This window comes from Homo sapiens, chromosome 9, assembly GCF_000001405.40.
Source record: "Homo sapiens chromosome 9, GRCh38.p14 Primary Assembly".
NCBI lineage: Eukaryota > Metazoa > Chordata > Mammalia > Primates > Hominidae > Homo > Homo sapiens.
In genome coordinates, this window is record NC_000009.12 from 104,426,361 (window position 1) to 104,451,270 (window position 24,910).

A 24,910-nucleotide genomic window follows, 5' to 3' on the forward strand; every position below is an offset into this window, starting at 1 on the left:
TTCTCTATCTGTTCACTTGTTAATAATACCCATATCCAAGCCAACTCAGTTTCAATTTCTACTGAGTGCATTTTTCTTGAATATGAACCACACTATTTTCTGTATCTTTTTATACTCAGATTTTGTGTATTAATTTCTGTGGCAGACTTTTATAATGACCTCCCTCCCAAGGATATAGTCACCTCTTAATCCACAAAACCTATCAGTGTGAGAGTATATGAAAATATACATGATTAATCTAAGGATCTTGAGAGGAGAGGTTATCCTGGATTATCTGGTTGGGCCCTAAATTCAATCACATGTATCCTTATAAAAGAGAAGCAGAGGGAGACTCAACAGGGGACCAAAGAGGGAAGACGGTAATGTGACAATGGAATCAGAGAAAGGTATTGCAAGATGCTACACTGCTGGGTTTGCAGATGGAGGAGGTGGACCTGAGCCAAGAAATATAACTCCAGAACCTGGAAGAGGCAAGGAATAGACATCCTCCTCAAGCCTCTTGAGGGAGTATGGTACTGCCAACACCTCGATTTCTGCCCAGTGAAACTGATGTTGAATTTCTGGCCTTTAGAACTGTGAAAGAATAAGTGTTGGGTTTCTTAAGCCACAAAGCTGGTTTTTAATTTGTTAAAGCAGCCACAAGAAACTAGTGTAACTTCTCTTTGATTTTCTTTTTTCAGCTTAACTGAAGTATATAATTGACAAATAAAAATTCTATGTATTCATGGTTGACATGGTTTTGCTCCGGGTCCCCACCCAAATCTCATGTCAAATTGTAATCCCCATGTGTCAGGAGAGGAGCCTGGTGGGAGGTGGTTGAATCATGGGGACATACTTCTCCCTTGCTGCTCTCCTGATAGAGTTCTCATGAGATCTGGTTGTTTGAAAGTGCATAGCACTTTGTCAGAAGAGTAGATTGCAAAAATTTTCTCCCATTCTGTAGGTTGCCTGTTCACTCTGATGGTAGTTTCTTTTGCTGTGCAGAAGCTCTTTAATTTAATTAGATCCCATTTGTCAATTTTGGCTTTTGTTGCCATTGCTTTTGGTGTTTTAGACATGAAGTCAAAGAACTCAAACAAATTTACAAGAAAAAAGCAAACAATCCCATGTCAAAGTGGGTGAAGGATATGAACAGACACTTCTCAAATGAAGATATTTTTGCAGCCAACAGACACATGAAAAAATGCTCATCATCACTGGTCATCAGAGAAATGTAAATCAAAACCACAATGAGATACCATCTCACACCAGTTAGAATGGCGATCATTAAAAAGTCAGGAAACAACAGGTGCTGGAGAGGATGTGGAGAAATAGGAACACTTTGACACTGTTGGTGGGACTGTAAACTAGTTCAACCATTGTGGAAGTCAGTGTGGCAATTCCTCACGGATCTAGAACTAGAAATACCATTTGACCCAGCCATCCCATTACTGGGTATATACCCAAAGGATTATAAATCATGCTGCTATAAAGACACATGCACACGTATTTTTATTGCGGCACTATTCACAATAGCAAAGACTTCGAACCAACCCAAATGTCCAACAATGATAGACTGGATTAAGAAAATGTGGCACATATACACCATGGAATACTATGCAGCCATCAAAAAGGATGACTTCATGTCCTTTATAAGGACATGGATGAAGCTGGAAACCATCATTCTCAGCAAACTATCGCAAGGACAAAAAACCGAACACCGCATGTTCTCACTCATAGGTGGGAACTGAACAATGAGAACACGTGGACACAGGAAGGGGAACATCACACACCGGGGACTGTTGTGGGGTGGGGCGAGGGGGGAGGGATAGCATTATGAGATATACCTAATGTAAATGACGAGTTAATGGGTGCAGCACACCAACATGGTGCATGTATACATATGTAACAAACCTGCATGTAGTGCACATGTACCCTAGAACTTAAAGTATAATAAAAAAAGAATAGTAAAAAGAAAAAGGAAGTGCATAGCAATCCCCCCCCCAACACTCTGTATCTCTCCTGCTCCATCACAGTAAAGTGTCTGCTTCTCCTTTACCTTCCACCATGATTGAAAGTTCCTGAGGCCTCCTAGCCATGCTTCCTGTTAAGCCTATGATACTGTGAGTCAATTAAACCTCTTTTCTTCATAAATTACCCAGTCTCAGGTAGTTCTTTGTAGCAGTATGAAAATGAACTAATACAGAAAATTGGTACCAGAAAAGTGAAGTATTACTATAAAGAAATATGAAAATGTGGAAGCAGCTTTGGAACTGGGTAATGGGAAGAGGTTGGAACAGTTTGGAGGGCTCAGAAGAAGACAGGAAGACATAGGAAAGTTTGAAAATTCATAGATTTGTAGAATGGTTGTGATCAAAATGCTGATAGTGATATAGACAATGAAGTCCAGGCTGAGGTGGTCTCAGATGGAGATAAAGAACTTATTGGGAACTGGAGTAAAGGTCACTCTTGCTATGTTTACCAAAGAGACTGGAGGCATTGTGCCCCTGCTCTAGAGATCTGTGGAACATTGAACTTGAGAGAGATGATTTAGTGAATCTGGCAGAAGAAATTTCTAAGCAGCAAAGCATTCAAGATGTGTCCTGGCTGCTTCTAAAAGCCTACAGTCATTTGCATAAACAAAGAAATGACCTGAAACTAAAACTTATATTTAAAAGGGAAGCAGAGCATAAAAGTTTGGAAAATTTGCAGCTTGACCATGCAGTAGAAAAGAAAACCCCATTTTCTGGGGAGGAATTCTAGGCTGCAGACATTTGCATAATGAAAGAAGAGACAAATGTTAATAGCCAAGAGAGTAGAGAAAATGCCTCCAGGGCATTTCAGAGACCTTCCTGGCAGCCCCTCCCATCACAGGCCTGCAGGCCTAGGAAGGAAAAATGCATTCATGGGCCAGGCCCAGGGTCCTCTGTTTGGTGCAGCCTTAAGACATGGTGCACTGCATCCCAGCCACTCCAGCTCCAGCCATGGCTAAAAGGGGCCAAGGCCCAGCCCAGGCTGTTGCTTCTGAGGGTGTGAGCCCCACGCCTTGGCAGCTTCCATGTGGTGTTGGATCTGTGCATGTGCAGAAGGCAAGAGCTGAGGTTTGGGAACCTGTGCCACGATTTCAGAGGATTTATGGAAATGCCTCATAGTCCAGGCAGAAGTCTGCTGCAGGGGAAGAGCCCCCATGGAGAACCTCTACTAGTGCAGTGCAGAAGGGAAATGTGGGGTTGGAGCCCCCATACAGAGTCCCCACTGGGGCACTGCCTAGTGCAGCTGTAAGAGGAGTGCTACCATCCTCCAGACCTCAGAATGGTAGATCCACTGACAGCGTGCCCTGTGTGCCTAAAAACACCACAGGCACTCAATGCTAGCCTGTGAAAGCAGCCATGGGGGTTGTATCCTGCAGAGCCGCAGAGGCAGAGCTACGCAAGGCTGTGGGAGCTCACCCCTAGCATCAGTGTGGCCTGGATGTGAGAGATGGAGTCAAATGAAATCATTTTGGAGCTTTAAGATTTAATGACTTCCCTGCTGGGTTTTGGATTTGCATGGCTCCCTTAGCCCCTTTGTTTGGGCCAACTTTTCCCTTTCGGAATGGGAGTATTTACCCAATGCCTGTACCCCTATTGTATCTTGAAGTAACTAACTTGTTTTTGATTTTACAAGCTCATAGGTAGAAGGGACTTGTCTTTTAAGCATAGCGTAAAAGTTTGGAAAATTTGCAGCTTGACCATGCAGCAGAAAAGAAAAACCCATTTTCTGGGGAGGAATTCAAGGCTGCAGAAATTTGGATAAGTAAAGAAGAGCCAAGTGGTCATACTCAAGACAATGGGGAAAATGCCTCCAGAGCATTTCAGAGACCTTCATGCCAGCCCCTCCCCTCAGATGAGACTTTGGACTTCAGACTTTTGAGTTAATGCTAAAATGAGTTAAGACTTTGGGGGACTATTGGGGAGGCAATAATTGGTTTTGATATGTGAGAAGAACATGAGATTTGGGAGGGATTTGGATTTCCCAAATCTCTTTGGGAAAAAAACACTGAAAATAAATACAATGTTAGAAAAGTAATACAGGTTTGCTCTTACTTTAACTGACTGTCCTTTTTATCCTCATGGCCAAACATAGCCAGATGTCAACAATGAGAGTTAGTTACCATCTTCTTGAAGCATCTTTAGGATTTTTCAGTTTATTTCTTATTTATTTACATATGGTTATATCAACACAATAAATGTTACAGTATTTAGACCACAGTTCCATTACTCTAGGTTGCAGCTAAATTTTTGGGCTTGGTAAGTTGTTTTTGTTTAGTTGGATCCTGTTTTTACTGGATTAAGATGATAAAAATAAAAATCTAATAATAGATTCATGTGGAGTGATATTATTGCTAACGATGGGCTGGCAAATCTTGTGTCAAATAACAAAGAAGTTAAAGCAAGCTTTCTTGCCCTATCCCTGTTAAGATCAGACAGACTTCATTAGGACAAACAGAAGAAAACTTTCATCGGTATACCGATCTGAAACCTATAAAAATAATGAGGTGAGGATGGAGAATTGGGCAGGGGATATTTCAGCTCAACAGGCAGATCTAATAAAGTCTCAGTTGACCCAGTAGGGAACTTGGAGAAAAAAGATTATGCAGTATCTGTTCAATGCTACACATTGGACAAAAAAGACCAAAACTTAATACCTCTCTGGAGCTTAGTCAAATGTTTCTTGGGAGCTGGCCTTGCTGAGTTCTAGTGTACATCTCTTCCTGAGGAAAAGCTTAGAAGAGGAAGCCTATTGGGATGAGTATAGCCCTTGTCACTGCAGGTGGTCTCTGGATTACAATTGGTCTCATAGTCTTTCTCCTCTATGCATTCTAAATCTCCCTACCCTTCAGCTATTACCCCAGCTGGTCTTGGTAGTTTACTATGTGGTACAGCCCAAACTCTTATTGAAGAGGTCTCTGAGCCCCTGATAACCATATCCTTCTTAGGTTGGTGTTGTAGTATTTGTACACTCAGAGTTGCTATTAGGCAAGGGGATACACAAGGTGCCCAAGTGGATCACCTGACTTGCACATATATCTCTCTTGATCACATTATGTAACAACAACCCTATATCTACCTGAGGATCAGAGTGAAGTACTGTCAAAATCGTGACTCTTTGTCTTGCTTGCTAGTCTCTGGATATGAGGAATCCACAGTGCCCAACCAGGAACCATATCTCATATTTCCACGGAACCCTTGAAGTATCCCTTTGCTACAGGGTGCTCTCTTTGGAGGCCAGGACCGATAACCTTACAGAGCTCAGAGTTGTGGGGTCAAGAAGCTCAACTCTACAAGTGGGCCACTGACAATTATAGTAAGAGGGGTCACTCCTGCTTCTACCATATGGTTTCTGGACTGATGTATTCTCCCTATTAAGAAGGTCTCTGATTCAGTGTGCATAATGCTTCCTGAAAGTCAGCACCACATCCTCAAAGAGTACTGCCTCTGGATTAGCAGTATGTATGTTGTTTCTTCATCATGCCATTGCACTGCTCCTTCAGACCAGATGGTTCTGGGTAGTGCAAGTATATCATATGACCAGTGGATCCCATGGTCATTGACTCACTCCAGCGTGTTCTTTACCATGAAGAGGGCCTCCTGATTGGATGTTATATTGTTGATATTCTATAACTAAGGTTCATGGTTCAGGCACTCTTGAACTAGTGGTGCTAGGCAAAATTCTGCAGGCAGGAAAGGTAAATCTGTATCCAGAATATGTTCCTGTATCTATGAGAATGAAACACTAACCCTACCATGACAGAAGATGCTTATCACTTTGACACTGTTTGTTAATTGTTTGTTAAATGTCCTCAGCTTTTAAAAATTTTCCTGTTGTAGAGCAGTACAATGTAATAACAACCAGACATTGTTTTATTTGTATTTATTATCCACCCTTATCTTTTACTTTTCAGTGCCTGTGAAAGATAAAGGAGAAAGAATCAGGGTTGGAGAACTGGAAAAGTCTTGGCCAACCAAATAGGCAACCCTGCAGCAAAGATTGCCCATTAGAAGAGTCAAATGCTAGGAAGAAATTGCAAACCCTACTATTCTCACTGTGCTCAAACTTCGACTAGGAACTTCCACAAAGAGTGTGGCCTTGGCTTGAACATTGCAGCAGCAGATTATGTAGGTGCTGAACTTGGAGTTTTGCACTTCTCACAGCTGACAGCAAATTCTTTCTTCAAGGGAGACCTGAGCAGTCCTCCATATCTGCCAAATTACTGCATAGGAACAAAAAGGAGCCCTCCATTCATCTAAGAAGCAAAATGAACTAGCAGAGAGAGCTTTGGCATCAGGCAAATCTGATTGTAAATACTTCTAGCATATAGTTGCTCTTACATTGGTATGTTGCCTATTGTTTCAGAGTATTACTTTCCTTGTCTATAATGGGAAAATAATAATAATTATCTTATGGTTATTTGTTGAATACATGGGTAAAGTTATTATGAGGATTAAATAAGATAACACTTGGGAATAGCCTAATAGAGTGTTTAGCACATAATGGATGTTCAATGGATATATTAAAGTAATAAATTGCCCTAATTTCTTATTTGCAAAAGTTAAGAGACTCTGGTCACAACTTCTGATGGAATATCTTAAATAATTCATTTTTTTCCTAGACATTTTATGCACAATAATGGGACTGTGATACACACATTACCCCTTCTGCCTGAAGTGACTTGACTTTCCCTCTTTGTCACTCTGCAAGGTCCATTGTCCATTCTGAAGCATTAAATAACTAGTATAATAGGTCATGAGGGAAATTCCTGGCATCTTAATTTAAGTATATTACTTTGGCTGCAAGTCAAAGTTATCATTATTAGGATTTCTGGCATCAGAACAATCACTTGTAATTCTTTCTGGAAGAATTTTCTTGGTTAAGCAATGCTAATGAAATCCTACTTAAACCAGCTATATTCTCTGGCAATTTCCCATCTATGTATGCACTGATAAATACTTGGAAGATTCTCATTCCTCATTGATTTATTGACATAAAATCATTTTGGTTCACTATTACAATTTTCATTTCATCTACAATTAACCCATTAAATTTATTATTCCAATTATTCTTTACTCCTGGCACCTTATGTTACTATAACTGTTATTTTATACTATTATTAACACCTAAATCTATGATACTGAAAAGGGTAATAATAAATTTACAGTAGTTATTTCCACATCACCTTAGTTTGGGACATATTATTGTTTACAACTTTACGTTACTACAGTAATCTTGCTGTATAAGTATCTGTGTACAAGTTCTTTATTTTTTACGGAAACATTGAAATATTTATTTGGATTTTTTTCAGAGTTGGATTGCTGGATCAGGAAATATTAATATTTTAAAGACATTTATTACCAAACCAGTATCAAAAATATCACTTTGGTTGACCATGATACCAGCAATGGATACATGTATATGTTTCCCTGAAATGCTATGAATACTGTTTTTCTGAGGCATGAAGAGGTAAGCAGCAACACAAAGACTAGCATCAATGCCTCCTCTTTTTTTATCTAGTGCTTTCAGCACAACCTATCATATGAGCAAAAAGTATACATTAATCTAGTAGATGCACCTGCCTATTTTATCTTGTGGTTTAACTTCCAAGAACACTTCCTAAAAATATACAATGTCTTAGCACCAATTACAATGTTATAATTAATTTATCCTTAATTTTCTGAATAAAGTAATTTTCAGGCACATCTTTCCATGGATTCGGTTTGTAGTTCTGGCTAATTGCATGGGCTCAGAAACCAGACGGAATCTCAAGTCTCCTACTTAGTAGATATGTGAGAGGCACAGGGGTTACTCAGTCTTTCTGCACTTCAATTTTCTTCCTATGAAATGGGTTTGACAATGGCATAGAATTTAGAGTATTATGACACATAAATGAGTTAATATAAAGAAACTACTTAAAAAGTATCTAATATACAGTAAAATACCAATAAATTCTAGCTGTATTTGGGAGCTCCCTAAATATGTAGTAGGGAGATATATATTTAATAGGCTTTGTCTTTGTTTAAAATGATTGATTGATTAGGCCATTTATGTTGTAATATATGTTTAACACCATGTAGATCAGGGAAGACAAATATATTTCATGTCCCATTGTCATTTGACTGGTAATGGCTGCCTGGAACACTGTGCTGAAAAGGATTGTGTGTCCACATCTATGACTAGAGAGAGTCATATTTAATTAGCAGTGTCAGCCACAGGTGCAGAAGAAAACAACTGCAAGTGTGCATGTCAGATATTTGGTATAGTTGCTGTAAACTAAATATAAATAATCAAATATTTACACCTAAGTTATTTTATTGGCTCTCTGTATAGAAACAGAATAAAAATTATTTTATTGGCTTTGTATAGACAAAAATTAATAATAATTTAGCATCTACCAACTATCACAGAGAAGATCCGAGTCAGGTATTGAATTTGCAGTGAAGATGTCTGTCTTTCAATACATTACTTTGATTATATAGGTATTTTTGACATGAAAGGGCACATTTCAACTATTTGTATTCAACTACAAAAAGCAAAAAAGATACCACTCTAGTTGTAAAAGATTTAAGCTCATCAAATAAGTAGATATACGGCTTTTTAATAATATATCCTTGCTTCCTACCTGATAGGCTATGTTGTTATAGAATGAAAAATCAGTTCCCCAATGTGCTCACATCTGTTTCTTTGACTAGCCAAACAGGAGCTCATATGGAGGAACCAAGTCTTATTTATCTTTGTATTTCCAATGCTTGATATAGAGCTGATGTTCAGTAAATGTTTGTTGAACCAATGAATATCTTCTATGCCGCAGGGACAGTGGTTGTAGGATTCAAGATGAATGAGATGATCCTGGGTGATGGCTGATGCTGTCATCGCCTGAACACAACAGCACTCCCAGTAGCCGTCGTGGCTGATGGGGATTTTTCAGGCTCCACATGCAGAAGTACATAGAAGTATAATGGCTAGATAATGCCTTAGCTCATTTGCAAAAAAAATCAGCCCTAGCCCTTGTGACCTGGGGCAAGAATTTTAGGAAAATGTCCTTTTGTCCTTATCAGTGGGACTCTTAAAATATTCTTGCTAAGATTTTCAAATTACTTTCAATTTTCCAGATCCAGTGGGTGAGCTCCTTTCATTTTTACTTTATGAGAGTAAAGTGAAGTGTGAAGTCTGAAGTCCCTGACAGTAATATTGCTTCCCTGCTGTTGAAAATACTTCTTCTTCCAGGGCTTCCATCACACTATACTACATAATGTTTTTTCTCTCTCACTGTGTTTCTTTCTGGTCTTCTCTCTTCATCTTTCAACATGTTGCTTTTCCGTAGGGGTCTATTATTGGTTTTCCTCTCCTTTCCACGTATACACTCTTGTTTTCAAATCATCTACTCGTATAAATTCAGCTCTCATCTCTATCACTTACATGTTGGTATTTTCCTAAGTGTCATTTTACACTCTAACACTTGAACTTCAGATTTTTTACAAAATATTTTATTTTTATTAAAAGATTTTTTTGAGACAGGTTCTCACCCTATTGCCCAGGCTAGAGTGCAGTGGTGTGAGCATAGCTCACTGCAGCCTCCATCTCCTGGGCTTAAGTGATCCTCCTGCCTCAGCCTCCTGAGTAGCTGAGACTATAGGCACTTGCTACCATTCTTAGCTAACTTTTTTTGGTAGAGATGGGGTCTTGCTATGTTGCCCAGGCTGGTCTCAAACACTTAGCCTCAAGTGACCCTCCTGCCTCAGCCTCCCAAAGTTCTCAGTCTCCCAAAGTACAGGCATGAACCACTGTGCTCAGCCTTTAGATTTAAATGTTAAAGTTCCCCAAGACATCTTTTCCTAGATTACTTTCAGTCCCCTCAATTTTAAAATATCTAAAATCATAACTATTACTTACTCTGCCAGAACTCTGCTTATACCTCTTTATTTCTTCTATAAATGAATGATATATTTTTTAAGTTACAAAGTTTAGAAAACTCTGAGAAAGCCTATGAAGGTGTTCTTCTCTTCCTCAGCCAATAAGCTTAGTTATTTGTAGTACTTCAAAAATATATCCTTCTGAATCTAACTTTTCCAATATTATACCCATCCTTTCTTTTCTATTCCCACAATAATTGTCCTGGATGAAGCCTTCATTGTTACCTAGATTATTGTTATAGTGTCCTCAATTATCGCCCTGTTTATAAAGACTTCCCTCTATACTGATACTAGAGTTATCTTTTCTAAAAAGTAAGGTGATAACTATCTTTACTAAAAAACTTTTTCCCCTAATTTCATATAGAAAATAACCCATTGCCCTTTTTCCCCTTTGTTCATATAGAAAATAACCCATTGCCCTTCATTCACTCCATAAGAATGGAAAAAATATACCACAGATAAAAGCAAAAGAAGATTAAAGAGAAACAAAACAGAAACAACATCAAAGAAATAAAACTTAGGCTAAGTATGTTGTAAGAGCTCAATAAATATATATATTTAATTTTTTTACTTTAAGTTCCAGGATACATGTGCAGAACGTGCAGGTTTGTTACATAGGTACGCATGTGCCATGGTGGTTTGCTGCACCTATCAACCTGTCACCTAGGTTTTAAGCCCCACATGCATTAGTTATTTGCCCTGATGCTCCCCCTTCTCTTGCCCTCAGCCCCCGACAGGCCCCAGTATGTGTTGTTCCCCTCCCTGTGTCCATGTGTTCTCATTGTTCGATTCCCACCTTATGAGTGAGAACATGTGGTATTTGGTTTTCTGTTCTTGTGTTAGTATGTTGAGGATGATGGCTTCCAGCTTCATCCGTGTCCCTGCAAAGGACATGATCTCATTCCTTTTTGTGGCTGCATAGTATTCCATGGTGTATATATATCACATTTTCTTTATCCAGTCTATCATTGATGGGCATTTGGGTTGGTTCTGTGTCTTTCTATTGTGAATAGTGCTGCAATAAACATGTGTGTGCATGTATCCTTATAATAGAATGATTTATATTCCTTTGGGTATATACCCAGTAATGCAATTGCTGGGTCAAATGGTATTTCTGGTTCTAGATCCTTGAGGAATCCCCACACTGTCTTGCACAATGGTTGAACTAGTTTACATTCCCACCAACAATGTAAAAGCATTCCTATTTCTCCACAGCCTCCCAGCATCTGTTGTTTCTTGACTTTTTCATAATTGCCATTCTGACTGGTGTGAGGTGGTATCTCATTGTGGTTTTGATTTGCATTTTTCTAATGATCGGTGAAGTTGAGCTTTTTTTCATATGATCGTTGGCCATGTAAATGTCTTATGTTGAGAAGTGTCTGTTCATATCCTTTGCCCACATTTTGATGGGGTGGTCTTTTTCTTGTAAATTTGTTTCATTTCCTTGTAGATTCTGGATACTAGACCTTCGTCAGATGGGTAGATTGAAAATTTTTTCTCTTATTCTATAAGCTGCCTGTTTGCTCTGATAGTAGTTTGTTTTGCAGTGCAGCAGCTCTTTAGTTTAATTTGATCCCATTTGTCAATTTTAGCTTTTGTTGCAATTGCTTTTGACAATTTCATCGTAAAATCTTTGCTCATGCCTATATCCTGAATGGTATTGCCTAGGTTTTCTTCTAAAATTTTTGTGGTTTGGGGTTTTATGTTTAGGTCTTGAACTCATCTTGAGTTAATTTTTGTATAAGGTGTAAGGAAAGAGTCCAGTTTCAGTTTTTGCATATGACGAGCCAGTTTTCCCAGGACCATTTATTAAATAGAGAGTCCTTTTCCCATTGCTTTTGTCACGTTTGTCGAAGATCAGATGGTTGTAGATGTGTGTGGTCTTATTTCTCTATTCTGTTCCATTGGTCTGTATGTCTGGTTTTGTACCAGTATCATGCTATTTTGGTTCTTATAGCCTTGCAGTATAGTTTGAAGTCGGGTAGCATGATGCCTCCAGCTTTGTTCTTTCTGCTTAGGATTGTCTTGGCTATTCCAGCCCTTTTTGTGTTCCATATGAATTTTAAAGTATTTTTTTCTAATTCTGTGAAGAATGTCAATGGTAGTTTGATGGGAATAGCTTTGAAGCTATAAATTACTTTGTGCAGTATGGCCATTTCCATGATATTGATTCTTCCTATCCATGAGGATGGAATGTTTTTCCATTTGTTTGTGTCCTTTCTTACTTTCTTGAGCAGTGATTTGTATTTCTCCTTGAAGAGGTCCTTCACGTTTCTTGTTAGCTGTATTCCTAGGTATTTTATTCTCTTTGTAGCAATTGTGAATGGGAGTTCATTCATGATTTGGCTCTCTGCTTGTCTGTTGTTGGTATACAGGAATACCTGTGATTTTTGCACATTGATTTTGTATCCTGAGACTTTGCTGAAGTTGCTTATTAGCTTAAGGAGTTTTGGGGCTGAGACAATGGGGTTTTCTAAAGATTAGGATCATGTCCTCTGCAAACAGAGACAATCTGACTTCCTATCTTCCTATTTGAATATGCTTTATTTCTTTCTCTTGCCTGATTTTCCTGGCCAGAATTTCCAATACTATGTTGAGTAGGTGTGGTGAGAGAGGGCATCCTTATCTTGTGATGGTTTTCAAAAAGAATGCTTCCAGCTTTTGTCCATTCAGTATGGTATTCACTGTGGGTTTGTCATAAATAGCTCTTAGTATTTTGAGACACGCTCCATCAGTACATAGTTTATTCAGAGTTTTTAGCATGAAGGGATGTTGGATTTTATCAAAGGCCTTTTCTGCATCTATTGAGATAATCATGTGGTTTTTGTCATTGGTTCTGTTTATGTGATGGATTACATTTATTGATTTGAGTATGTTGAATGAGCCTTGCTTTCCAGGGATGAAACTGATTTGATCATGTTGGATAAGCTTTTTGATGTACTGCTGTATTCAGTTTGCCAGTATTTTACTGAGGATTTTCGCATCGATGTTCATCAGGGATATTGGCCTGAAGTTTTCTTTTTTTGTTGTGTCTCTGTCAGGTTTTGGTACCAGGATAATTCTGGCCTCATAAAATGAGTTAGGGAGGAGTCCCTCCTTTTCGATTGTTTAGAATAGTTTCTGAAGGAATGGTACTGGCTTCTTTTTGTACCTCTGGTAGAATTTGGCTGTGAATTCGTCTGGTCCTGGGCTTTTTTTTGGTTGGTAGGCTATTTATTACTGCCTCAATTTCAGAACTTTTATTGGTCTATTCAAGGATTTGACTTCTTCCTGGTTTGGAAGGTGTATGTGTCCAGTCTTGGGAGGGTGTACATGTCCAGGAATTTATCCATTTCTTCTAGATTTTCTAGTTTATTTTCATAGAGGTGTTTATAGTATTCTCTGATGGTAGTTTGTATTTCTGTGGGGTCAGTGGTTACATCCCCTTTATCATTTTTTATTGTGTCTATTTGATTCATCTCTCTTTTCTTCTTTATTAATCTAGCTAGCAGTCTATCTATTCTATTAATTTTTTCAAAAACCCAGCACCTGGATTGATTTTTTGAAGGGTTTTGTGTGTCTCTATCTGCCTCAGTACCACTCTGATCTTAGTTATTTCTTGTCTTCTTCTAGCTTTTGGATTTGTTTGCTCTTGCTTCTCTAGTTCTTTTAATTGTGATGTTAGGGTGTTGATTTGAGATCTTTCTAGCTTTCTGATATGGGCATTTAGCGCTATAAATTTCCCTCTTAACACTGCTTTAGCTGCATCCCAGAGATTCTGGTACATTGTCTATTTGTTCTCATTGGTTTCAAATAACTTGTTGATTTCTGCCTTAATTTTGTTATTTACCCATGAGTCATTCAGGAGCAGGTTGTTCAATTTCCATGTAGTTGTGTGATTTTTAGTGAGTTTCTTAATCCTGAGTTCTAATTTGATTGCACTGTGGTATTGAGAGACTGTTTGTTGTGATTTCAGTTCTTTTACAATAAATATTATTTTTTATTAAGAAAAGTATCCAAGGTTATATAGTTAGAGGGACAGGAATTTAACACAGGCAGTTTAAAGTCCATATGCTCTAAAGTGTTAAATAAGCTGTATAGACACAGATAAAACATTGTAAACAAAAGAAAGGAATAAAAAGGAAAATACTGACAGATTTGAATACAGCAAAATATAAAATGTCTGTTTATCAAAAGATATCCTTACAAACATTAAGAGAAAAGCTATACTTGTCAAAATATATCTTTAATCTCATCCTGTTGGTAGACATAACTACCAATTTAAAGATATTATAAACTCAGAAGAACATGTTAAGTGACCACAGAGGTGCAATCAGAAACATTCAAAGCTGCTAATGTTTGAAATCAATCTCTGCTTGCCTCCATAAGCCATACTACACATGGCCAGCTCTCCAACAATACTAAGGCAGACCTAATTTAGGAGACAGAGTACTCCATTGTCTGTGGACTTTGGTGCCAGATATCCTTTTATTGAACCTTTATCGAAATTTCCTTAGATTGAATATCAGTCTAAGATGCTTCACTCAAGTTATTGCATGGTCTGAAGGTTCTCCCAGATTTCCTTGACCCTTTCCTATTTTTTTTCACACAGCCATTCGCCCTAATAAGACCCTGTCTGGGCTTCTGCTTCTTGGTGGACCCAGACTAACACATCCTACTTATAACACTCTGCATGGCTTAGCCTCTACCAACTTCTCCATTTTCACTTTATACCATACTTTCTCTGGTACTCTCTTCCCTAACACTGACCTTCTATTATTTTGTCTTAAAATTAACTTCTTCTCCTCTTCTCCTAGTTAATACCTACAGATCCTTCAACTACTAGTTTAAGAATATCAATTCAGAGAAGATTTACTCCTATTATATATTACAAATGTATCTTGTATCTATTATAGCACTGTTGCATTTGAAATTTTATACTTTATTTTGTTATCATTTAATTAGTCTGTCCTAACTAGACTGCAAGCTAAACAAATAAGTGATTGCATAAATAAACAACCAAGGGAATAGCTATTTTCTCATCATTGTATTCCCCGTATATTGTAAAGCCTCTGGCCTGCAATAAGTGTTCAATAAATCCATGCTGAATTAATTAATGAAAATCAGCAATATAAAACCCCCGTTTTCACTGCTGGGAAATCAAACTGCAATCTAGCAAAATATTTGTCCTCAAATGGTCAAATGGTCTTCTCAATCCCCATTCCTCCCCTCCCCTCCCCTGGTTTATTAAACTCATGTTTATCCTTTTAATCTCAGTACAAATAACTCTTCCTCAAAAAAGCTTTTAATGAAGACCATCTCACCCCTGGATGGAGTGAGATGGATGGAGCGCCCTCCATTATGCATTACTATAGTCTTGGGAATCTCCCTTCATATAGTTTGTTAAGTTTTCAAAAATTTAACATTAGTTCACATAGGTATTTAATTGCATAATAATCAGTTTGACTAATTCAGCTGTCTATCCCCTCCAACAGACTCTTAAGTTCCATGAGGCCAGGGTTATAATAAACATTAGTTGAATGAATAAAAAAGGTTATCCCTTCAGTCAGTAGTGCAGCTTTAGAAAGAAAGGTTTGACCATTAAAGGACACAGTGGACAACTGCTAGCCGAACACATCATTTCAACCAACCTTAGGGAACATAGAGAGACAGGTATGGCAGTTAGATCATTATTATATTCATAAAGATAAAAAAGAATAAAACATATAGATAAAATAAGTTGTAACAAGTGAAGTGCAAAATGTTTCCCAGAAGTGTAATGTAAATATTAATCAAGCCTAGAAAAATAATTTTTTGCCTATTAGATCCATAACATGCTAAAAGCCAGCCCAGCCAGAGACAAGTCCTATTTTGACATGGCATTGTGAGGAAGACTGGTCATTGAGCATCAGAGCCTTGACTATGAATTCAGTTGGTTTATGTATTTCTCTACTTCAATACCTTCAGGAGTTATTTTAAAAATTATTTTTCCCAAAATGACAAACAGAATGCATTAAATAAAATAATAATGATGATAACAATCAACACATCATTTATGGAGCGCCATTTTAGATTCAATAAAAATGTCACTAGAATGCATATTCAACCTTACCCCCAAAGCAAGTACTTCCCTCTCCTTCATCCATGAGAGCCTACATTGCTTCCTAAGTTTGTGGGCATCACTGGACAGTGTACATATGGTTGACGAGTATCTACACTGCTTAAGTCAGATGGGGACTGGGCAATGTCTTAGGGTGTAATGAAGGATAAAGTCCTTGCTGGAAGTTCTCTAGGTCTTCAAACTGCTGATGAATACAAGTCTACATCAAAAATTGACAGACCATATAGACAGCATCATAGACCCCAGGCATATGTACAGGGAAGGATGACTGCTCTGCCGTGGAGGACTCAGCTACCCATGCACCCCATGGGTACTCAAAACCATATCTAGGAACCCTCTGCACTTCCTTTGCTACTTTAGTTTCATGCTAAGGACATGGAACATTTTTCTTCAAGGCTATGTATAGTTTATCTGCCTCTGTGTCTGCAGTCATTTCTGTCTCAGATCTTGCCATACTCCTAACACTGTCAGTTTTGCTATTTCTAGGATCCCCCAGTTCACTTTGCCTTTTATCTTATCCCTCCAAACTCTAGCTTAGGGAAATATGTTTTAAGACTGGGGAAGTATTCATCAAAAGCTCTTGGCATAATCTTTTCAATGAATTTAAGCTCTTAGATGTTTCCCTTTGAAATTATCAACTTTGGGTGCTGGTAGTATTCTTAGATAAATTTAACTCTATTGATTTTGATAGCCAAATGCTAGGGAGCTTTAGGTGATGGCAAATGGCCATGGATTCTTTATTCCCCATTATCTTGGAAACTTTTAGACAATTTTTCATTTATTTTTCTGCCTTTGTTTTGCTAACCACAGTTTCAAACTACCCTATTTCTCATTGTCACACCACTTCTTTCTGACACTATAAATATATGTGATCAACAGCACAACCATGAACTAGCCATTTGTCAAGTTAATAGTGCCTTTGCCTTGAAAAGAACAGGAAATATTTCTTGTTCATTCTCTGGCCCCTTCACAGACCCCTTGAACTGTCCTAATCCCCTTTCTCTTGCCATTATTTCTATGAACAAGTAATCCAATATGCTGGATCATTCCTTTTGATTTTACTTTTTACTACTTTTACAGTGTGAAAATTGGAACATGACTCTTTAATAACATATACCTCTTAGATTTTGACCTTTGGTTTCTCTGACCTCTAATTTTTATTTTAGAACTATTTTTTATTCGAGACTTTCCTTTGCCTGCATTATCTATGAAGATCTTGTTGTCAATGATGAATAAATATTGAGTATTTATTAAGAGACTAAAATGTATATCAGAAAACCTCATTAATTCTATGTGGACCCAGAATACATTTTCTTTTGCTTTCCATAATCGATATTTCCAGGTATAATATGCGGATACTATAAAAAAAGTTTGGAGTATTTGTAGAATAATGGTGAAGATACTTAGGAGTAAACCTTATAGCAATTTAGAATAATTCAATTCATACAGAATCCTCATTACAAATTATCTTTAGGGGCACCTGGGTAAGGAGCGTCAGATACTCTGAGGAACCAGATGCCACATCTAAGAAGGATATTCAGGGTTCAAAAGCCAAGCCAATATGTATATGTCATCACTTAGTTCTGAAGAGTAAGCATTAGGATCCTAGCTGTAAGCAAGGCAAGAGTTCAGCATCTTGGTGAACACAGGAGCCAGCTAAGAAGTCCAAACATTGATCAAAGGAGAAGAATTTTAATTCTAAACAGGGTTTTACTGTTCAGAGCTCTTTATATTTGGGTACTGGCTAGCTGGCATCAGGACAGCGTAGATGTGTAAAAGGCACAGGCTTGGTTTGATACTAAAAGGATTGTAAATATTATCCCTTACATTCATATACAGACTACAGTTATAATAAATAACTTTGTTGGCTTGGGTTGAATTGTTATAGTCAAATTAATTTAATTGAAATACATAGGTATACACACACATACTCACACTTTGGAATTACCTGTATAACATAATACTGTATTTGTGACATAGTTACTAATAATTTCTTTTTAAAAAAATCATTTTCTACTGTTCCCATATGCATTCCTCTCTCCCTAACCCTTTCCCAAGTGCTTGTACCAGTTTAGTTACTGTCTGAGACTGCCCTTCCCAACCACGGATTCACTCTCTTCCCACCTCTCAGGGCTGGTTTGAATGGAATGTCCTGTGGGATGACCAAGGCTAGCAAAAGGAGAAGAGGAGATGGGTGGAGGGTGTGATGGTTAATATTAAGTGTTAACTTGATAGGATTGAAGGATGCAAAGTATTTTTCCTGGGTGTGTCTGTGAGGGTGTTGCCAAAAGAGATTAAAATTTGAGTCAGTGGACTGGGGAGGCAGACCCACCCTCAGTCTGGGTGGGTACCATCTAATCAGCTGCCAGCACGGCTAGAATAAAGCAAGCAGAAGTTGGAAAGAGTAGACTTGCTGAGTCTTCCAGCCTCCATCTCTCTCCTATGCTAGATGCTTTCTGCCCTCGAACAACAGACTCCAAGTTCTTCAAATTTGGATTCTTGGACTTACATCAGCGATTTGCCAGGGCCTTCAGCCACAGACTGAAGGCTGCACTGTCAGCTTCCCTACTTTTGAGGTTTTGGGACTTGGACTGGCTTCCTTGCTCCTCAGCTTGCAGACGGCCTATCATGGGACTTCACCTTGTGATTGTGTGAGTCAATTCTAATTAACTTCCCTTCATATATACATATATCTTATTAGTTCTGTCCCTTTAGAGAATGCTAATACACATGGGAAATATTCCAAAGTCTGGGTAAGGAGGCAGGCAAACTCAGGCTGGTTTATCTACAGATTCCAAGTCCCAGGGACTGTGTCATTCTCCAGGGAGAAAAAAAAAAAAGATGACACCTGTATGGACATAAAGAGAGAGACAGTATACACAGACTCCATGTGGGGAATAATAGTAAGGTGTGATGCCAAAAGCCAAAAGTTGGAGCAATTTCTTTTGAGGGTTGGTTCAATTGGATATTGAAATCAGACCAAGAGGACGTCACAGGGGTTAACTCAGGGAACAGGATAAACACCCATTGGCCTATTCTGGAATATTTCATTCCAAACCAAATTAGTAGTGAGAAGGAATCAGGCATAAGTTTAAGGCCAGTGCTCAATATCAGGCCAATAGTTCCTGAGTTACTGGGGCCAATGGGAGGATTATCTGAATTGATAGCGCATCTGTATTTTTTTCTAGAAGAGTAGAGTATCTCTCATCTGTGGCTCATTCCCAGTATTTATAATTGAACAGTGTGTACCAGAATAACCACTGACTGGATTTTAAAGCCAATTTCCCTTCTGATTGATCAGTGTCCTGACTCTACCAGCTATCAAGTATTTGAATATCACCTATATCATGTGCTCTTTTCTATCAAAATTCCTTTAACACTGTGTTGTAATCCTACTTATATGTTTGGTCTTTTCAAGAATGTGAACTCCTTCAGGGCCGTGACAATATCTCGAATGATAATAGCTACAATCGCTTGAGTAACTAAATGGATGCCAAAAACATGCTGAACATTTTATATACATGAGTGCTCATTTCTGTGTTAAATCTATGAGGCATTATCATTTTAATCCTCATTTTATAGATGATAAGCAAGGATTAATAAAGCTTAACTTTCCCAAATCAATTAAATATTCTTGAATTCATATTTCTTGTTCTTTCCATTAAACTGTGATGTATATTATATATTTTCACCTTTTGAATGAATGGGAATCCATTATCTGCCGTCATTGCTGGCACATTTATTAAATGAGTGAATTGACTGATTGATTCATCCAGTATTTATAGAGCATCTATGTGTCAGGCTATGTTTTAGGCATTGGTAAAACAGTGGTGAGCACAAAAGAAGTTCCCATCCTTGCACAGTTTACTTTCTGTTAGAGGAAAGCAGACAATAAACATACATACATAGACAGATGATAGTAGATAGATAGACAGACAGACAGGTAGATAATGAATAAATACAATACATAAACAAGTAAAACAAAAACAAAATAATGACAATGTAAGGGCTATAAGCAATAAATCAAGTAAGGGGATAGAGCATGACAGCATGACTCATGTACTATTTGGATAGAATGATCAGAGAAGATCTGTGCAGGTGATAATTGAGCAAAGACTTGAATGAAACAAGAGAAATAACATAAAATATCTGTGGAAGGGCATTCCAGGGAAAGTGAGTGAGAAGTACAAAGGCCCCCAGTTTGTTAATGGAGTTTGTTATGGGAGCCAATGTGACTGGAGTGCAATGAGTAGTCGCAAATAAAAATAAGGGCCAGAATGACAGCCTATGGTTCCGCATAGGACCATGTGGAAAAGGACTATGGCTTTTACTTTTGAGTGACATGAGAAACTATTTTAAACAGTCTTACATTTTTAAAATATCCATCTGTCTGTTGTGTGGAAATAAACTTTCCTGGCTACTAGGGGAAGGATGAGGCTAGTATCCAGACAAGAATTGATGCTTAGACCAGGGTGGTTGCAGCAAAGTTTCATTTCTGGATATATAAGGAGCTGACATATTTGCTACTGGATTGGATGTGAATTGGAAGAGAAAGAGAGGAGACATAAATGATTTTAAGTTTGGGTCTGAGCAACTGGGAGAGGGGTGCATTCTTCTCCTAATCCATGTGATATAAGCCTTAACACGGCCTAAGTAGGTACTATACCTACCACCTAAATGTATCTACCCCTCCAAATACTCCTTAGGCTTTTATTTTGTCTTTAAGAAGAAAAATAAACTGTCCAGCTACAATCTTAGTATCTCCCTCATTTAAACCTATTTTTCTCCTGTGTTGACAGCACCTTAGTTAACAGTGCAACATTCAGCTAGATACCCAAGGGAAATACCATGGAATTACTCTTGATTCTACCCATTTGTGCATCTCTCATTTCAACCATGTACTAAAGCCTATAATTTCTCCCTCCAAAAATTCCCCTCAAGTTCACTCAGTCTCTACTCAGAAATTAATTTAGACCACTCAGCATCACTTAAAGGAGCCAGGCCCCACAGCTGGACCAGTTCCACTTAAACTCATACCAGTTGAGCTGCTGAGGCCTCTGCCTGTCTTGCAGTCAGGGCTCTGGCCAGCCCTCATGGTTCAATTACATAAAACAGCAAATGGCATTTCCTGTTGTCCAAATTATTACATACCGTACTAAAAACACTAATTTTTACATTATATCTTTTCCACTCTTTAGACCCCAACCAATAATTATCTCAATCACATTTTAACTAAAGAGGGGAAAAGGCACATGGTTACTCATGCAGTTGGTTTATGTGTTGTGGTTATTAATAATCAAAGTCACCAAAGGCAAAGTGGAAAAAATAACAGCTATGCAATCAAGAACAGAGAAAGAAGCAAGCTCAATATAGTTTCCAATAAACCTTAAAATTGGGCTTTGCAAATATTAACAAAATATGAGAACTAAATGATGTGATTGTTTGTCTCTTTTTTATCTAAAGTGGACCAGAGAAAGTTTTGTGCAGCGCAGCAAGACTTCTGCATCCTGATTGAATACAGGGTCACACAACCCAGAACTCATTTCTGTGTATGATTTCTCTTTAAGTGTCTTGCCCTGTAACCCTCCCTCTCCCAGATATTTTAGTTGCAAATTGAGCTCTTTTCTAAAATTGACAAAAATAAAATATTAATAAACTTTCAACTACTGGAACTATAAAGAAAAAGCATGACGTGTGATATTGGTGGAAGGTAGAGCTCATTCCTCAGGCATCCATCATGGTGCCAGGCTTTTCAACAGCCTGAATGCAGAATTCTTAGATCATTTCAAACTTACAATCTTGGCAATGACATGACAGCTGGTGCACGTGGCATATTAATTCAGCAAACATCAATGCCAACTGTGTGCCCCATGGATCAACTCACCACCTTTTCTTCAACAAAGCAGCAGCTGTCTGGTTTTTAAATGCTTAGTTACAGGGGAAAGGGGTAATATTAGACATACTTATGGAAGCATAAAATCATGTATATAAGCACGAATTGATGTGACCATCGTGATGGAATAAATTTGCATAATCAAATCATTCCGAACAATTATTTAACTCTTTACTAGTTAACTTTTAGTCCTTACAGTTTGAAAATGTAATTATAAACAAAATCTCCTCCTAACCCAGAAATGTTCACAAAAGTGGAAGAAACAGAAAGCTATTTTTATTGCATAAGCATTAAATTAGAATTCAATGCACATCACATGCATTTTGCTAAGAGATTACAAAAGCAGAAAGAAATCTTACCAAGCAGAAACAAATCATTACATACATGCTCTCAAGACAAACTATAACTAGTCCTCATGTAAGAGGACATGATGGCACAGTTTGTCACACAGAATTCATTCTAAATTCATTTGGTAATTGGGTGACCATCTTGTTAGCTAATTGACTTTATCCAAAGGAAAAATAAATTTCTAATATCTTTATCACAGGAGGCAGTTTTGCCACTTAGAGCAAGGCATCTACCAAAGATAAGCTTCTCCCCTCCCACTGAAACTGGTAGATAGGGATGCTGTCTTCCTTAATGATTGCATTTCAAAGAAATAGTTCCCAGGTCCTCGAGAAGGAATTCCTGGACCATACAGCAGACAAGAGGCTAATTTAGCTTTTAACGACTTACAAAGAGACAGAGAAACAACTTGTAAGTTTTCTAAAGTAAATAAATACTCTAAGCAAAGGGAAGGAAGTCTCTTCCCTTATTATTTTCAACAGGGAGAATTAAGCATTTATTTTCTATGTACTTTTAAACACAAAACCTGGTGCATAATAAATGTGCATTACACATTTATTGTTGATTCCTGTTGACATGTAATGAGTCACTTCCAAACTGATGCAGAGAATATAAGTAAAAGAATCACAATAAATAGAACAAAATGTAGAAGATGAATGATACAGCAAGAAAGCATAGATTGTGATTGTCATTACAATGAGATAATGAAGGACAAAGTGTTTCCCTTATGAAGGGATTCGGTGTGAGGCTGACTTGTGCTGACACCCCTTCAGTGTGACCTTGTGTGTGTTGTTAAACCTTGTTAGCTCTGTCTCTTCACTTATAAAATGGTTACTATCTTTTTCATTTAATCTAAGATGTATGTCATTGATTATAAGTGGCACCATTTTTATATATTATAAAAAGGAAAAATATCTGATAATTGCATGATGCCATTCATTGTGAGACCTATCACAATCTTAATGACAGTAAAATGTGAGAAAGTTGGGTGTCTCAGAATCAATGAAATATAACTAATAACAGCTTCATAGTGAGGTTTTGGAAATTAAATATTATGATGTATGAGAAGAGTGTAGCAGGATACCTGGCACAAAATAGATGTTCAATATATGTTATCAATTATTGGTGATAATGATAAAAAATAGTTTGAACTCTTCTATTACAACAAAAATCCCCAGACTGGTCAAATAAACCAGGGCGCAGGAAGAACTTGCTTCTTATAAAACATCCATTTGCAATAACTCGACAAACAATGGTTAAGTCTCAAAAAACTTTTTATACATTTCTTGTATATCTGTAATTATTTTCCCATTTTCATCCCTATTTTTAATCAGTATGTTTTTATCCTTGGTTAGAGTACTTAATGATTTATGTATTTTGTTGTACTGTTTTTAATGGTAAGTTTCTGAATGTGTGTATTGGTTCTGCTAAAGACTTTCATTTGTTGGCTGGTTAGTTGATTTTCCAATTCAATAATTCCTGATTTTAACTTTATTGGTTTCTTTTGCTTTTCTTGGCTTTGCATGTTTATCTATCAATTTACTTATTTACATAATTTTCTCTTTGAGTTGAAGATGTTTTACATGTTTCTGCCCTTAGTAAGATGTTGAAGGGGAAAAGATTTTCTCTCAACCCCGTTTTAGCAATACCTCATATGTATTAATATACGGTATGTTTTTAAAGTAATTTTTTTAGGTTTTCTTCAGTTTGGGTTTTAGTTGTTTTTTTGAATCTAGGTTTATTTTTTGAGAAATTGTGTGTGCAATTTTCAAGATACATGGTTTTTTTTAAAGTCATAGGACTTTTCCATTGTCCTTATTAAATACATTCAGCAGGCTATATCTGCATCTTAATAATTTGGGGCTCATTGTCCCTAGAACATAGTGTATTCTTTTCCTGTGCAGATTCTGATTTTTTATTATGGGAAATTCTTGTTCCTATGGATTGTTGAACACTTTGTCTAAAATAAATTTAATAAACTCAACAAATAAAAGAAATTCAACAAATAAATTGTTGAATGTTTCAGATCGCCTTTTTCTGCGATTCATATCTACTATTTTCTCTAATCACTTTTGCATATTTTTTGTTGACATCTAATTAACATACTGCAAAATGCACAGATCTTACATCTTCACTTTGTTGACTTTGGCAAATGTAGACACTATGTAACCATCACACAAAACCAGATACAGAATGTTTCCATCAGTCCAGCGATTTCCCTCCTGCTCTCATCTAGCCAAGTCTCCCCTTCCACCCAGACAACCACTTCCCATTTTCTATTTTCAGAGTCTAATTACTTTGATATTTTTCATTGTTTGTATTTTATTTTGAATGACTGTTTTTCAAACCAATCTCCTATATTCACGATTGGTATTTGTCCTCCATGAGTTCTGCTTTGGGCTGCCTCTAAACAATCTTTCATGTTGATTATAATTCTACTCTTTTGCTGCATTTCTTTTGAGTTCCACCAGCTTATTTCTATCTACTGCTTGTGTTCTGATGTGTTAACTGCTTTTTGCTCTCTTTGTATCTCTTCTGAAATTTTGTCACAAATCTTTGCTTTCCTTAATTTATTTCAAAGCAAGGAGACTTTTTGTCAAAAATTTCCAGCTTCCCAAAGAAATTCTTCTTTCCATGTAAATTTTC

General features: G+C 37.4%; 1 long non-coding RNA gene across 1 annotated transcript in view; it reads left to right on the forward strand.

The window, feature by feature from the left end:
* Positions 1–6,709: 6,709 nt before the first annotated feature.
* The window catches only part of LOC105376195 (uncharacterized), a 30,633-nt gene continuing 12,432 nt past the window's right edge, over positions 6,710–24,910 (forward strand). Inside the window, exon 1 of the long non-coding RNA XR_930202.4 lies at positions 6,710–7,479. This is a non-coding gene — a long non-coding RNA (uncharacterized LOC105376195). The remainder of the gene's footprint in view (positions 7,480–24,910) is intronic.